We start from the raw sequence: 16,915 nt of genomic DNA on the forward strand, positions 1-16,915 counted from the left end.
GTCCGCCCATGTGAAGCCCACCCTGGCTCCCTACCCTTTAAGGATGGGGGAAGCTGAGTGTGTGTTACCAGTGGGGTCTTAAACACACAAGGCCTCACTCGTCAGTGTGGTGAAGAAAGCCAAGACTCCGCGCTCTCCATTGTTAGCAGCCTGGAAAGATCTGGAGACTAGCAATGGAGAGATGTTTCTTAGGCTGTTCAGATCCAAAACTTCCACATTCCCCGTTGTTGATAGGTATGGGATGGAGAGGTGAACAGAACTGAAGCAGCTGTTGGAATTCATTTGCTGGTTACTTTAGTGCTTATTTGGCAGTGATGGGTTTGGGATTGGGTTTTTGGTTTTGCACATTCCCTAAGATGATTCTTTATCACTTTAAAAAATACCAGGATACAAGGATAGCTGGATGATTCTATAAATCTAATTTTTAAAACTATCAGTTCTGGGTAGGCACGGTGGCTCACGCCTGCAATCCCAGCACTTTGGGAGGCCGAGGCAGGCAGATCACAAGGTAGGAGATCGAGACCATCCTGGCTAACACGATGAAACCCCGTCTCTACTAAAAAAAATTGCCGGGTGCGGTGGCTCACGCCTGTAATCCCAGCACTTTGGGAGGCCGAGGCGGGCGAATCATGAGGTCAGGAGATTGAGACCATCCTGGCTAACATGGTGAAACCCCGTCTCCACTAAAAATTCAAAAAATTAGCCGGGCGTGGTGGTGGGTGCCTATAGTCCCAGCTACTCAGGAGGCTGAGGCAGGAGAACGGCATGAACCCGGGAGGCGGAGCTTGCAGTGAGCCGAGATCGCACCATTGCACTCCAGCCTGGGTGACAGAGCAAGACTCCGTCTCAAAAAAAAAAAAAAAAAACAACAACGAAAATACAAAAAATTAGCTGGGCATGGTGGCAGTTGCCTGTAGTCCCAGCTACTCAGGAGGCTGAGGCAAGAGAATGAATGGCGTGAACGTGCCACTGCATTCCAGCCTGGGCGACACAGCGAGACTCTACTGATCAGTTCTGCTGATGGAGAAAAAAAATTTGATAAAATTTAACATCCATTTTCTAAAAATTATTCCTATGTACCATTTATTATTAGAAACCAAAAGTGTTAACGCTTTAGAGTTGCATTCCAAGTCCACTCTTGCCCACTACCAAACACTGTTCTAGAGGTGCTAGTCAGTACAATCGGGCACGAGAAGGAAAAAATGCCTTGGAATGAACAAAAAGCGATCAGGGGTCATACTGGGTCAATGTTCCTAGACAGGAACTATTTTGTTCCTAGTTAGAAATGTTTAATGATTCAGGGAAAATTGACAGCTGAATGGGAGTGACATATAATTCATACTGATATATGAGAATACCAATGGTGGCCTTAGGCCAATCCTAACAAACATCAGGCAGACAAAAACCAAGGAAGCACACCAAACCTCTTAAAGCTATGGTAATTCAGTGCATCACTTGAGAAGGGTGGTGTTTCAGCTTAGTAGGTAATAGTTGGATTATTATGTGGGGGGTCATCTTGAGAAAAATAAAGCTGTATCCCTTACACCCAATAAATTGCAAACGGATCAAAATACTTGGAAAATGCAACTATACCCCCAAAAGAAACATGGTTAAATGGTGTAAACGAGAGAAAACAAATAGCTCATGTGAAAAGATGCTCAACTCCACTGGCAAATTAAAATCACGAGGTAACGTCTCGAGAAGTGGGTCTTCTGATGCCAAGGATGGAGCAGCTTGCGAGGATGAACTCTAGGGAATGACCGAAATCACTCAGCCTAGAGGTGTTCTCAACACCCTTACCCCTGCCCCCGCCCCAAGCAGGTCCACTCCTAGAGAATCTCACACATGGGGAAGAGCCACAGCAGAGTTTTTGGAGAAAAATGAAACCACCAGCAGGAAAATGGGTGAGTACATTCAGGCATATTCAGATGATGCTCAGCTATGAAATAAGCTAGAACTACGTTATCAACCTAAATAAATCCTGAACAGTGAAGCCAAGTGCAGCAACATATCAATATGCACAATACCGCCTCATATCCTCTAAACGTGGCCCACGGGCCAGGCTGGCTGAGAGAAAGTGTGTACACCAGAGTGTACATCAACGTGGACTAGTACCAAACAGATTGGTAATGAGTTTGTGGACATCAGCCAGAGGCTGTGAAAGCCCGAATCGATAGTGGTTAATTCAGTGAGGGAGAGGGGCGGAGACGAGGAAAGGCAGATACTGCTTTACCTATCAGTAAGGAAAGTATAGACAGAGGTGTTCATTATGCCTGTTTGCGTGTCAGATTTTCATTTTTGGGGAGGGTGGGAAGTGACAGTGTCCCAGGCTGGGGTGCAACGGTGCCATCATGGCTTGCTGCAGCCTCAACCTCCTGGGTTCAAGCGATCCTCCTGCCTCAGCCTCTTGAGTAGCTAAGACTATAAGTGCACACTACCACACCTGGCAAATTTTATAATTTTTGGTAGAAATGGGATCTTGCTACTTGCCCAGGCTGGTCTTGAACTCCTGGCCTCTAGTGACCCTCTCATGTCAGCTCCCCTAGTCGCTGGGATTACAAGCATAAGCTACCACACACAGCTCTCAGATTTTTAAATATCTATATCCTTTGATCAAGAACTTCACTTTCCTGAAATCCTCCCATATGTTCAAAAAGTATAATCCCTACTGCACTCTTGTAGCAGAAGAGTGGAAATAAGCTGATGTTCATCAAGAGGCAAGAACTGAATAAGGTAGAGAGCATTCAAACCATGGAATACCGTGCAGCCTTTGAAAAAGACAAGGTACACGTGTGTACGAGCAAGGAATGATGTCTGATATACGTTGTCTGCCCAGGGAAATATTCAATTACAGAGCAGTTTGTATTATAATCTACCATTTTTTAGAAACAGAAGGAAGTTAACAGTTTCTAGTAATGACAGTTGCTGAGAATAACAAAATGCTGCATATAGATGGCAGATGGTGGAAGCCAGGTCTCTCTGTTGGAGTGGGAGGAAGCAGAGGAAGCAAGGGGAGAAGCTAAGATAAGCAAGGGGAGGAAGCTAGAATAATCCATGTGGTAATGAATTAGAGCCGGAGATATCAGGATGAAGTCATGTTTAGCTTCATATGTACGGATGGTTTCATATAGAAACACTGATAGTGGCGAGGCACAGTGACTCACGCCTATAATCTCAGCACTTTAGGAGGCTGAGGCAGGAGGATGAGGAGCCCAGCAGTTTGAGACCAGCCTGGGCAACACAGTGAGACCCCACATCTACAAAAAATTTTAAAAATTAGCCAGGCATGGTGGTGCCTGCCTGTAGTCCCAGCTACTCTGGAGGCTGAGGCAGGAGGATCACCTGAACCCAGCAGGACAAGATCACACCAGTGCACTCCACCCTGCACGACGCAGCGAGAGCCTGTTTCAAGAAAAGGAAAAAAGAAAAACTGCTGACTGTGATGTGTATATACACTGGTCACTACACACATGCATTTCCTTGTACTGTCAGCTCAGAAGGCAATGAACACACTTGGCTTCCAGTGTTAGGTTTCTAATGCCATTCTCCAGTAAAAAAGGGCTCCTTGGAGAAATGGCTGATTCTAGAGATGGGACAGAAAACGTACAGTACGTGCCTGAAGAATACCAAAGCACCAGAAAGGAAGGGCTCAAAAACAGCAATCAAAGATGTGGTTATGTGAAAGGAACACAGGAGCCAACTGAAAAAGCCACAACAGCCGAAGAATGTGAGCAACAAAATAAAGCAGTATTGGACTAGAATCCAAAGTATAAATATCCATAAGTCCACGCTGACATAAACAAATAAATAAATGGGGGTGACTACAAATCTTCCATGCAGAATTCCAAGTAATTTACATGGACACTGCCTCAGGAGGTGGAGACTCACCTCCTCTGTGGGCTGTGCAATGTTCCAAAGAGTACATACAGTAGGGATGGGAAAGTGCCCGTCACTGTGGAGACCTGACATGCTACCTCAGCCAGGGGGCGTCATCTTGAAAGCATGGGCCCTTGATCTGAAGTGATGAAAATGGCATTTTACCTTTGTGGTCTTCCTCTCAAAATACACAACCTCAGTCTAATCATCATCAGAAAACACCTGACCAATCCCCAAACGAAAAATCCCTGACTGGTATTCCTCAAAACTGTTGAGGTCATCAAACCAGGAAAGTGAGAAAAGTATAATCATCAGAATGTAAAAACGAATGGGGCCAGGTGCAGTGGCTCACGCCTGTAATCCCAGCACTTTGGGAGGCCAAGGTAGTTGGATCACTTGAGGTCAGGAGTTCAAGACCAGCCTGATCAACATGGTGAAACCCCATCTCTACTAAAAATACAAAAAAATTACCTGGGCATGATGGTGCATGCCTGTAATCCCAGCTACTCAGGAGGCTGAGGCAGGAGAATCGCTTAAACCTGGGAGGCGGAGGTTGCAGCAGTGAGCCGAGATCAAGCCACTGCATTCTCGGCTGGGCAACAGAGAGAGACTCTGTCTCCACAAAAAAAAAAAAAAAAAGGCCGGGCGCGGTGGCTCACGCCTGTAATCCCAGCACTGGGAGGCCAAGGCAGGTGGATCATGAGGTCAGGAGATTGAGATCATCCTGGCTAACATGGTGAAACCCCATCTCTACTAAAAATACAAAAAAAAAAAAAAGAAAGAAAGAAATTAGCCAGGCATGGTGGCGGGCGCCTGTAGTCCCAGCTACTCAGGAGGCTGAGGCAGGAGGATGGTGTGAACCCAGGAGGCGGAGCTTGCAGTGAGCCGAGATTGCACCACTGCACCCCAGCCTGGGCAACAGAGGGAGACTCCATCTCACCAAAAAAAAGAATAAAAAAAAGGTTGGCCAGCCTGGGCAATATAGTGAGACCTCAAATCGGCAAAAAATTTAAAAATTGGCCAGGCAAGGTGGCTCATGACTGTAATCCCAGCACTTTGGGAAGCTGAGGAGGGTGGATCGCGAGGTCAGCAGTTCAAGACCAGCCTGGCCAAGATGGGGAGACCCCGTGTTTACTAAAAATACAAAAAAAAAAAAAAATAGCCAGGTGAAGTGGCAGGCACCTGTAAACCCAGCTACTTGGGAGGCTGAGGCAGGAGAATCGTTTGAACCCGGGGGGCGTAGGTTGCAGTGAGCAGAGATTGCGCCATTGCACTCCAGCCTGGCTGGGCGATTGAGACTCCGTCTCAAAAAAATAAATAAATAAAAATTAAAAATTATCCTGGCATAGTAGCACATGCCTGTAGTCCCAGCTACTGAGGGGCCCAAGGCGTGAGGATCACGTGGGCACAGGAGTTTGAGGTTACAGTGAGCTGACTGCACCACTGGACTCTAGCCTGAACACAGCAAGACCCTGCCTGTCGCAAAAAAAAAAAACAAAAACAAAAACAAAACAACTTCATGGTTGGATGTGGCATCAAAATTGACACAGCAAAATAATGAATGAGGCTGGGCGCGGTGGCTCACGCCTGTAATCCCAGCACTTTCGGAGGCCAAGGCAGGCAGATCACCTGAGGTCGGGAGTTTGAGACCAGCCTGACCAACATGGAGAAATCCCGTCTCTACTGAAAATACAAAATTAGCCCAGCCTGGTGGCAGTAGCCTGTAATCCCAGCTACTTGGGAGACTGAGGCAGGAGAATCACTTGAACCCGGGAAGTAGAGGTTGCAGTGAAACGAGATCGTGCTATTGCACTCCAGCCTGAGCAACAAGAGCGAAACTCTGTCTCAAAAAATAATAATAATAATAATGAAATGGTCGATGAGAATAAATTAATTAGAATGCAGCAGAAGGTGAGGGTGGGGAGAAAAGGCTAGAAAACATGCAGGAAAGGTAAGATACCTAGAAGACAGACTGAGAAAAGCGACAAAGTCAAATATACATTTCACTACCTTCAAAAGAGGGCCAGGCACAGTGGCTCACGCCTGTAATCTCAGCACTTTGTGAGACTGAAGCTGGAGGATCACTTGAGCCCAGGAGTATGGAACAGTCTCGGCTACTTGGGAAGCTGAGGCAGGAAGATCACTTGAGGCCAGAAGGTGGAAGCTGCAGTGGCCATGAGTATACCACTGCACTCCAGCCTGGACCACAGGCACATGCTGTCACATCTGGCTAATTAAAAAAAAATTTTTTTTACTGGGTGTGGTGGCGCATGCCTGTGCAGCTACTCGGGAGGCTGAGATGGGAGGATCACTTAAGTCCAGGATACAGGATAACTAAAAAGAAATCCAGGCTAGGTATGGTGGTTCACACACGTAATCTCAGCACTTTGGGAGGCCCAAGGTGGGAGGGCTGCTTGAGCCCAGTACTTTGAAACCAACCTGGGAAACAGCAAAAAACCATCTCTACCGAAAAAAACAAAAACAAAAATTAGGTGGGCATGGTAGTACATTCCTATATTCCGCATTCCCAGCTACTTTGGAGGCTGAGGCGGGAGGATGTCTTGAGTCTGGGAGGCGGAGGTTGCAGTGAGCTGAGATTGCACCACCGCACTTCCCAGCCTGAAGGACAGAGCCAGATCCTATCTCAAAAAAAAAAAAAAAAAAAAAAAAAAAAAAAGAGAGAGAGAAGTCAATCATTCCAGCCCTAGTAATAAACTGCAGAAAACCAAAGAAAATCTTAAGAGCAGTGGGGGACGGGGCAGAGGTAAATATCATCTTCAAAGGAGACTGACATTACAACAGTAACAATGAAAGCCAGAAACCAACGGGATGGCAGCTTCATGTGCTGAAGGCGATTAATGGCAACCTGGAGAGAGTATGTAGTATTTAAGCATATAGTATTCAGGGTGAAATAAAGATATTTTTAGGCAAAAACAGGGTTCAGGCCGGGCACAGTGGCTCATGCCTGTAATCCCAGCACTTTCAGAGGCCAAGGTGGGAGGACCATTTGAGGTCAAGAGTTTGAGACCAGCCTGGCCCAACATGGTGAAACCCCATCTCTACTAAAAATACAAAAACTAGCTGGGCGGTAGTGGTGCACATCTGTAATCCCAGCTACTCAGGAGTCTGAGGCAGGAGAATCACTTGAGCCTGGAAGATGGAGGTTGTAGTGAGCCGAGATCATACCACTCCAGCCTGAGCAACACAGTGAGACCCTGTCTCAAAAAAAAAAAAAAAAAAAGAAAGAAAAGAAAGAAACAGTTCTTCATCAGCAGACCCACACTAAGGGAAACTCCAGATGGGGTGGGTGTAAACAGAATTTAAATGATCTGAGAGCTTTTGTCATCCAAGAGGACAGACAGTAAAGACATCAGTTAACTTTAGGTGTGGATATGTTAAATAAATACATTGCAATTCCTAGGATAACCACTAAAGGAACAGAAACACAGGCCAGACTAGCATGCTGCCTGAAGGAAAAAAAGGAACCTAAAATTACAGAATAGCAAGGATAAGATGATAGATTCCAACCCCAAATATAATCAATAACAACGTTTTAAGAATATACTAAATATGTTATTCCTGTTCCTCTATTACAAGAGAATGATTTTAGCATGGCTGAGACATTCCTATTTTGGAAAGCAATCTGTACATTTTTTTTTTTTTTTTTTTGAGACAGAGTCTCGCACTGTTGCCCAGGCTGGAGTGCAGTGGCATGATCTTAGCTCACTGCAAGCTCCGCCTTCCAGGTTCACGCTATTCTCCTGCCTCAGCCTCCCAAGTAGTTGGGACTACAGGCACCTGCCACCACGCCCAGCTAATTTTTTTTTTCTGTATTTTTAGTAGAGCCAGGTTTCACTGTGTTAGACAGGATGGTCTCGATCTCCTGACCTCGTGATCCATCCGCCTCAGCCTCCCAAAGTGCTGGGATTACAAGCATGAGCCACCGTGCCCAGCCTAGCAATCTGTACTTCTGACAGGACTCCCTGCAGGGGGAGGAGAGAAAAACATGTCCAGTAGTCAGCCAGTGAGTGTTGGTAAAGTTTAAATTGGATGTTTTTCCATCAAAATAAGTAGAGGCTGGGTGCAGTAGCTCACACCTGTAATCCCGGTAATTTGGGAGGCCAAGGCAGAAGGATCACTTGAGCCCAGGAGTTCGAGACCAGCCTGAGTAACATAGTGAGAACCTTGTTGCTACAAAAAATTAGCCAAGGCCGGACACAGTAGCTCATGCCTATAATCCCAGCACTTTGGGAGGCTGAGGTGGGCAGATCATGAGGTCAGGAGTTCGAGACAAGCCTGATCAACATGGTGAAACCCCATCTCTACTAAAAATACAAAAATTAGCCAGGTGTGGTGCACATAAGTAGCAATCATAAAAATGTATTTTGTAAGTTTGGAAATTACTGGGCGACAGAGTGAGACTCCATCTAAAAAAAAAAAAAATTAGCCGAGTGTGGTGACGTGTGCCTGTAGTCCCAGCTACTAGGGAGGCTGAGGCAGGAGGATCACTTGAGCCTGGGAGGTTGATGCTGAAGTGAGCCACGATCACGCCACTGCACTCCAGCTTGCACAAGAGTGAGACCCTGTCTCAAGAAAATAAATAAGTAGAAATCATAAAAATGTGTTTTTTAAGTTTGGAAATTACTCAAAATGCCTTGATTTGTGACTAAGAATGTACAAACTTTAACATTTATTTTTTTTTATATTTATCAATCATAACCTGTTTAAGAAACAGATTCTATTGAAAACTGGGACTTAACCAGGCACAGTGTCTCATGGCACAATCTCGGCTCACTGCAAACTCCATCTCCCAGGTTCATGCAATTCTCCTGCTTCAGCCTCCCGAGTAGCTGGGATTACAGGTTTACATCACCATGCCCAGCTAATTTTTTGTATTTTCAGTAGAGACGGGGCGCTTCACTATGTTGGCCAGGCTAGTATCAAACTCCTGACCTCAGGTGACCCACCCGCCTCAGCATTTTTTTTTTTTTTTTTGAGACAGAGTCTTGCTCTGTCGCCCAGGCTGGAGTGCAGTGGCGCAATCTCAGCTCACTGTAACCTCCACCTTCGGGGTTCAAGCAATTCTCCTGCCTCAGCCTCCTGAGTAGCTGGGATTACAGGCACGCGCCACCACGCCCGGCTAATTTTTGTACTTTTAGTAGAGACGGGGTTTCATCATGTTGATCAGGCTGGTTTTGAACTCCTGACCTCATGATCTGCCCACCTCAGCCTCCCAAAGTGTTGGGATTACAGGCGTAAGCCACGATGCCTGGCCACAGTTTTTTTTTTAATTACAGGGTCTCGCTATGTTGCCCAGGCTGTAGTGCAGTGGCTATTCACAGGCATGATCCCACCACCGATCAGCACAGGAGTTCTGACCTGCTCCGTTTCTGACCTGGGCCAGTTCACCCCTCCTTAGGCAACCTGGTGGCCCCCCACTCCCTGGAGGTCACCATCTTGATGCCGAACTTAGCGCAAACACCCGATTGGCATAGTGCACTGCAGCCCAGAACTCTGGGGCTCAAGCGATCCTTGCACCTCAGCCTCCCAAGTAGCTGGGACTACAGGCACACGCCACTGTGCCTGGCAAAAAAAAAAATTTTTTAATTAGCCAGATGTGCAGGCACGTGCCTGTGGTCCCAGCTAAGTGGGAGGCTGAGGTGGGAGAATGGTTTGAGCCCAGGAGGTTGAGGCTGCAGTGAGCTGTGATCATGCCACTGTACTCCAACCTGGGTGACAGAGTAAGACACTGTCTCAAAAACAAAAAAAGAAAAAAAAAATGAGAGTTTTGGCTGGGTACGGTGGCTCAAGCCTGTAATCCCAGCACTTTGCGAGGCCAAGGCGGGTGGATTATCTGAGGTCAGGAGTTCAAGATCAGCATGGCTAGCATGGTGAAACCCCGTCTCTACTAAAACTACAAAAATTTGTCCGGCGTGGTGACAGGCACCTGTAATCTCAGCTACTTGGGAGGCTGAGGCAGGAAAATCGCTTGAGCCCAGGAGGCAGAGGTTGCAGTGAGCCGAGAGTGCACCACTGCATTCCAGCCTGGGCAACAGAGCAAGACTTAAAAAAAAAAAAGACTTTACTTTTTATAAACTCTGCTGATGAACTGTGCAAATACAAAAGGGGGGTGGCATATGCATATCCACTTATGTGATTTCAAATTATTTCTGGAAAAATACATGAGAAACTAGTAACTATGGTTCCTTCTAGAGAGGCAACTAGAAGGCAGGCAGGGTGGGGAAATTTCATAATTTCCCTTTTTGAAAATTGCTGTCTAGTCTATTTAGAAAGAAAAAAAGAAAACTGCTCTGACTTATTATGTGTGAATCTTAAAAGGATATATATATAGGCCAGGGTTAATGGCTCATGCCTATAATCCCAGCACTGGCAGGCTGAGGTGGGCAGATCACTTGAAGGCAGGAGCTTGTGACCAGCCTGGCCAACATAGCGAAATCCCATCACTACTAAAAATACAAAAAAATTAGCTGGGTGTGGTGGAGCATGCCTGTAATCCCAGCTACTCGGGAGGCTGAGGTAGGAGAAACATTTGAACCTGAGAGGAGGAGATTGCAGTGAGCTGAGATCATGCCACTGTACTCCAGCCTGGGCAACACAGCGAGACTCTGTCTCAAAAAATAATACTAAAAACCAATAAAATTGGATCCCTACATCACACCATAGAGAGTACATTTTGACCTTGAGTAAGGAAGGATTTCTTAAGAATTGTAAAACACGGGCCGGGCACGGTGGCTCACGCTTGTAATCCCAGCACTTTGGGAGGCCGAGGTGAGTGGATCACGAGATCAGGAGATCAAGACCATCCTGGCTAACACAGTGAAACCCCGTCTCTACTTAAAAAAAAAAAAAAAAAAAAAAAAAAAAAATTAGCCAGGCTTGGTGGCACACACCTGTAGTCCCAGCTACTCGGGAGGCTGAGGTTGCAGTGGGCAGAGATCGCGCCACTGCACTCCAGCCTGAGGGACAGAGTAAGACTCCATCTCAAAAAGAAAAAGAATTGTAAAGCACAACCATAAAGAAAAAGATTCAACTATATTAAAATTAAGACCCTCTGTTAACCAAAAGATACCACAGAGAATGACAAGCCATAAACTGGAAGAAGATATTGCCAACTCATGTTCGAAATTGTATCTAGAATATACAAAGAATGACTATGAATTAATGAGAACAAGATAATCCAATAGAAAAGTAGGCAAAACAACAGGAATTTCAGAGAAGAGGAAATCATTCCTCTGCAAAATCGTTACTAAATATATAAAATATTGTTCAATATTATTACAAAACAGGAAAATCTAAATTACAGTAACTATGTCATCTCACACACAGTGTATTGGAGAAAATTAAAGATTGATAATACCCAGTTAGTGAGGAAATGGAACAAAGTGCTGCAGGTGAGCATGTTGATTTGTACATTATATATTTCTGTAAAAATAAAATACATAGCAGAAGCAGTTTGAAACAAAAAGTTAGAAAAAAAAGTCCATCAACAGAATAAAATGGATACCTTATATCCACGCAGATTCTTATATTGCAATGAAAACTGAATAAGGCACCCTACAAAACCCTTGACGAGTACTCCTCAAAACTGACAAAGTTAGTAAAAACAAGTGTGAGAAACTGATAGCCATGAGGAGCCTAAGGAGACATGATGACTATGTAATGTGGAATCTTAGATGAGATTCTGAAACAGAAAAAGGACATTAGGAAAAAAACTGAGTAAATCTGGGCCAGGTGTGGTGGCTTATGCCTGTAATCCCAACACTTTGGGAGGCCGAGACAGGTAGATCACCTGAGGTCAGGAGTTCGAGACCAGCCTGGCCAACACGGCAAAACCCTGACTCTACTATAAACACAAAACATTAACTGAAGGTGGTGGGGGGAGGCTGAGGCAGGAGAATCACTTGAACCCAGGAGGTAGAGGTTGCAGTGAGCCGAGATCACACCACTGCACTCCAGCCTGAGTGACAGAGCGAGACTCCATCTCAAAAAAAAAAAAAAAAAAAGCAAATCTGAAAAACCATGGACTTTAGTTAATAATAATGTATCGGCTGGGCACAGTGGCTCATGCCTGTAATCCCAACACTTTGGGAGGCCCGAGGCAGGCGGATCACAAGGTGAGGAGTTCAAGACCAACCTGGCCAACAGGGTGAAACCCTGTCTCTACTAAAAATACAAAAAATTAGCTGGGCGTGGTGGCGGGCACTTATAATCCCAGCTACGTGGGAGGCTGAGGCAGAAGAATTGTTTGAACCCAGGAAGCGGAGCTTGCAGTGAGCCGAGATTGTGCCATTGCACTCCAGCCTGGGTGACGACAGGGCAAGACTCCATCTCAAAAAAAAAAAAAAAAAAAGTATCAATGTTGGCTCATTAATTGTGATAAATGTTCCATGGTACTGTAAGATATTAACAATAGGGGAAACTGTGTGTGTGGGGGGGAACACGTGGTTACTTTCTGTGCTATCCACCCAATTTTTCTGCAAATCTAAAACTGTTCTAAAAATAGTCTATTAAAAATACTCCAGGTTGGGCACAGTGGCTCACACCTATAATCCCATCACTTTGGGAAGCCAAGGCAAGCAGATTGGTTGAGCTCACGTGTTCGAGACCAGCCTGGGCAACATGTTAAACCCCATCTCTACAAAAAATACAAAACATTAGGCCAGGTGTGGTGGCTCATGCCTGTAATGCTAGTAATTTGGGAGGCTGAGATGGAGGACTGCTTGAGGCCAGGAGTTTGAAACCAGCCTGCTCAACTTAGTGAGACCCCATCTGTTACATTTTTTTTTTTTTAAGATGGAGTCTCGCTCTGTCACCCTGGCTGGAGTGCAGTGGCGCGATCTCGGCTCACTGCAAGCTCCGCCTCCTGGGTTCACGCCATTCTCCTGCCTCAGCCTCCTGAGTAGCTGGGATTACAGGCGCCCGCCACCACGCCCAGCTAATTTTTTTGTATTTTTAGTAGAGACGGGGTTTCACCATGTTAGCCAGGATGGTCTCGATCTCCTGACCTCGTGATCTGCCCGCCTTGGCCTCCCAAAGTGCTGGGATTACAGGCGTGAGTCACTGTGCCCAGCCTAGATTTTTTTTTTAATAAAAAGAAAAAAAAATTAGGGGCTGGGAGCGGTGGCTCACGCCTGTAATCCCAGCACTTTGGGAGGTTGAGGTGGGCAGATCACTTAAGACCAGGAGTTTGAGACCAGCCTGGCCAGCATGGTGAAACCCCATCTCTACTAACAATACAAAAATTAGCCTGGTGTGGTGGCATATGCCTGTGATCCCAGCTACTTGTGAGGTTGAGGCAGGAGAATCACTTGAACCCAGGAGGTGGCGTTTGCAGTGAGCCGAGATTGCCCTACTGTATTCCAGCCTGGGTGACAAAGCTAGACTCCATCTCATAAATAAATAAATAAATAAATAAATAAATAAATAAATGATAATCATGGAACAACATACAACATTCAAAGTTCAAAACAAGCAAATAAATAAATAATTGCCGGGCATGGTGGCTCATGCCTGTAATCCCAGCACTTTGGGAAGCCAAGGTGGGCGGATCATGAGGTCAGGAGTTTGAGACCAGCCTGGCCAACATTGTAGAACCCTGTCTCTACTAAAAATACAAAAAAGAAAAAAAATTAGCTGGGCATGGTGGTGCACACCTGTAATCCCAGCTACTTGGGAGGCTGAGGTGGAAGGATTGCTTGAACCCAGGAGGCAGAGGTTGCAGTGAGCCAAAATCACACCACTACACACTCCAACCTGGGTGGGAGACTGAGACTCTGGCTCAAAAAAAAAAAAAAAAAAAAAAAGGCTGGGCATGGTGGCTCATGCCTGTAATCCCAGTACTTTGGGAGGCCGAGGCGGGCGGATCACGAGGTCAGGAGATTGAGACCATCCTGGCTAACACGGTGAAACCCCATCTCTATGAAAAATACAAAAAATTAGCCAGGCGTGGTGGCGGGCGCCTGTAGTCCCAGCTACTCGGGAGGCTGAGGCAGGAGAATGGTGTGAACCCGGGAGGCGGAGCTTGCAGTGAGCCGAGATTGCGCCACTGCACTCCAGCCTGGGTGACAGAGCAAAACTCCATCTCAAAAAAAAAAAAAAAATTATCTGGCCATGGTGGGGTGGGTGCTTGTAATCCCAGCTACTTGGGAGACTGAGGCAGGAGAATTGCTTGAATCTGGGAGGCAGAGGTTGCAGCGAGCCAAGATCAAACCACCGTACTCCAGCCTGGGTGACAGAGCAAGATTCTGCCACAAAAGAAAAAAAAAAGTGTTGTTTAGGATAAAAATGTGGTAAAAATAAAAATGAAACAAGGGAACAATGGTATTATTTTACAGATAAGAAAAATGAGGTTGTTATTTACCCAAGCTTCAAAAGACTTTCAGGGTCACAAAATAAAAGAAGTAATAAAACAAAATTCACTCATGGGTACTTCTGGCAGGAGTGGGGCTAGAGGAGTAGGGCCAGCTGGGATCAGCCTGGCGCACAGGCGTGTGGGGGTCCTGGAAATGTTCTATTTTGTGACCTGGGTGGTTGTGTACACATTTTTCCTGTGGTTTTGTAAACACTTCTACTATGCTTTCACATGCTTCTGTATGTATGCTGTATTTCACCAATGTCCCATTTTTATTAAAATAATCAAGAAATCCCTGCCAGGCCCCAGGCAGGCTCTTGGCCTGGGCTCACTGGAGGTTCATTATGCACAGGGACCACTCTCCCAGATCTGCTCAGGGGTCTCCACACAGCCTTGACTCAGAGAGGGCCCCTCCCTGGCCTCCCCTAGGAGGACAGAAGCTGCCTCCAGGTCACTGCGTGGCTTGTGTCTATGCCCAGCATTCTGGAACAAGCTCCAGTAGGGGGATATACACGAGGTCACCTCTCTCCCTTCCTGTCACACTAGTAGGCTTCACCAAACAGCAGCAGCACAGATGTGGGGAGTGGCCTGGGCCTGCAGGGGTCCTGGTGTCAGCTCGTTTGGGCCCCTCAAGGCTGGGGCTTCAGTCTGGGAGCCACCTTGTCTGAAGGACAGACCCCTGCTGGCTGTGGTTCCTACTCAATTCCTAGACCAAACCTCTGTTGCCCCATGGAGACTGATAGGGAAGATGGGCCCGTGGGCCGAGGGGCCAGCTGACTAGGTCATGGGTAGAGGATGACCCAAACATGAAAAAAATAACTTCCCTGGGCCTCTTGCTTACGCAAGACCAGGCCCAGCACTTAGGGGTTCAGGTCAAATCCACTGATCTAGTGCCAAAGGGGTCCTAGCCCACAGGGCAGAAGGCAAGGTTACCATCCTCAGGGATGCTGGCCTGACAAGGACCAAGGTTTAGCCCTCAGAGGCTGCTCCCCACCCATACACCCCTCCGAGGGCTCCAAGTGCTGCCACCCCTGCTACAAGGCCCCTTTCATGTTATGCCCCCACCTGACGACAGTGGAAGACCCAACTCTCTGAGTCTTATACCAAAGGAACATGGAGGTACAGAGAACCCAAGGGAGCTGCCCATAGCCACACAGCCAGTGACAGGCCATGAGGCAGAGGCAGAGGCTTCCCGAGGGTGGAGAGAGGCCCTCCCCCAGGCCTCAGCCCTCCTAGTGAGGAGGGTGGGTACCTCTGAGGCGGCACTGAAGGAGGGGGACTCAGGGACGATACAAGCAGCCAGCACCCCCCCGACCCCAACACACACAAAACCTCATCAAGCACAGTCTCCCTCAGCCCTCAACAGGGGAGGAACTGACCTCAGTCCAGGAAATACCCCAACTGCAGAGCCAGGCGAGGGGGAGGGACCCCAAATCCCACAGCCAGGAGAAAGCTAAGGGGGAGGCCTGAGAGGATCGCAGAGAGCACAAGCTCCTAGCTCCAGCAAGAGGAAGCGGAGCAGACGCTCAAGAGACTGCAGAGCTCCTGGTTTGCCCCTAACCTGAAGCCCACGGAGGGGCTCCCTGGGTAGACAGGGTGGCTGCCGGGCTAACCTGGGCATATGTGTTTGCCACGCAGAGAGGACAAGCCAGCCAGGTCCCTTGAAAGTTCCAAAAAAGATTATACTCTCACTCCAAAATCCCCCTGCTGAGAATTTACCCAAAGAAGGAAAAAAAATAGCACAAAGGAGGTCACCAGAGGGTTGTTTATAAAGAGAGAGACACTGGAAGATTTAAGTGGCCAGCGAGAGCTGTGTCGTGACGCGCTGTCCTTGCCAGACTGTCTGCAGCCTTTAGACAAAGCAAGGCTGAGGCCTGCAGCAACAGACGGTGAGGCGGGCTTAGTGTGGCTGTTTTCTCTGGAACAGAATATATGATACAATTGCAGAGAGATCCGTTAAGACCATACTGAAACTCCAGGGCAGGAGGCTCTGGACAGACGAAAACAGCTAATGTGTCCATCTGAGACTCAGTGCACTCATCTGTGAAAGCGGCCAATTCTACCTCTCCAACTTCAGGGGGTGTGAGGCTGAGATGTGGTAATGTAGGCAAAGGCCATGCCTCGTGGCCTGTCTCAGAGGAGCACTCACAAAATAGCAGCTGGGGCCGGGCGCCATGGCTCACACCTGTAATCCTAGCACTTTGGGAGGCCAAGGCGGCCAGATCATGAGATCAGGAGTTCGAGACCACCCTGACCAATATGGTGAAACCCCGTCTCTACTAAAAATACACAAATTAGGCAGGTGTGGTGGCCCATGCCTGTAATCCCAGCTACTCGGGAGGCTGAGGCAGGAGAATTGCTTGAACCTGGGAGGTGGAGGTTGCAGTGAGCCGAGATAGCACCACTGCACTCCAGCCTGGGCAACAGAGTGAGACTCTGACTCAAAATAAATAAATAAATAAATAAAAATAAAGAAAAGAAATAGCAGCTAGGGGCCAGGGTGCGGTGGCTCACACCTGTAATTCCAGTGCTTTGGGAGGCCAAGGCCCGCGGATCACCTGAGGTGAGGAGTTTGAGACCAGCCCGGCCAACATGGTGAAACCCTGTCTCTAGTAAAAATACAAAAATTAGCCAGGCGCGGTGGCGCATGCCTGTAATCCCAGCTAT

The 16,915-nt window shown here is 47.1% G+C and overlaps 1 pseudogene, besides 3 other annotated features; it reads right to left on the minus strand.

Moving 5' to 3' along the window:
- Positions 91-291: a silencer, noted in NCBI's record as "peak1946 fragment used in MPRA reporter construct". NCBI's record gives its function as "represses an SCP1 promoter by STARR-seq MPRAs in K562 erythroleukemia cells {active_cell/tissue: K562}" and the evidence as "EXISTENCE:reporter gene assay evidence [ECO:0000049][PMID:32103011]".
- Positions 9,170-9,464, minus strand: RN7SL769P (RNA, 7SL, cytoplasmic 769, pseudogene; annotated as a pseudogene).
- Positions 14,495-15,363: an enhancer, noted in NCBI's record as "H3K27ac-H3K4me1 hESC enhancer chr12:110803582-110804450 (GRCh37/hg19 assembly coordinates)". NCBI's record gives its function as "activates a minimal SCP1, AML or CMV promoter by ChIP-STARR-seq in naive H9 embryonic stem cells {active_cell/tissue: H9 hESC(naive)}" and the evidence as "EXISTENCE:reporter gene assay evidence [ECO:0000049][PMID:30033119]".
- Positions 15,364-16,231: an enhancer, noted in NCBI's record as "H3K27ac-H3K4me1 hESC enhancer chr12:110804451-110805318 (GRCh37/hg19 assembly coordinates)". NCBI's record gives its function as "activates a minimal SCP1, AML or CMV promoter by ChIP-STARR-seq in naive H9 embryonic stem cells {active_cell/tissue: H9 hESC(naive)}" and the evidence as "EXISTENCE:reporter gene assay evidence [ECO:0000049][PMID:30033119]".

The sequence above is a fragment of the Homo sapiens genome, chromosome 12, assembly GCF_000001405.40.
Source record: "Homo sapiens chromosome 12, GRCh38.p14 Primary Assembly".
In the NCBI taxonomy this organism is placed as follows: Eukaryota; Metazoa; Chordata; class Mammalia; order Primates; family Hominidae; genus Homo; species Homo sapiens.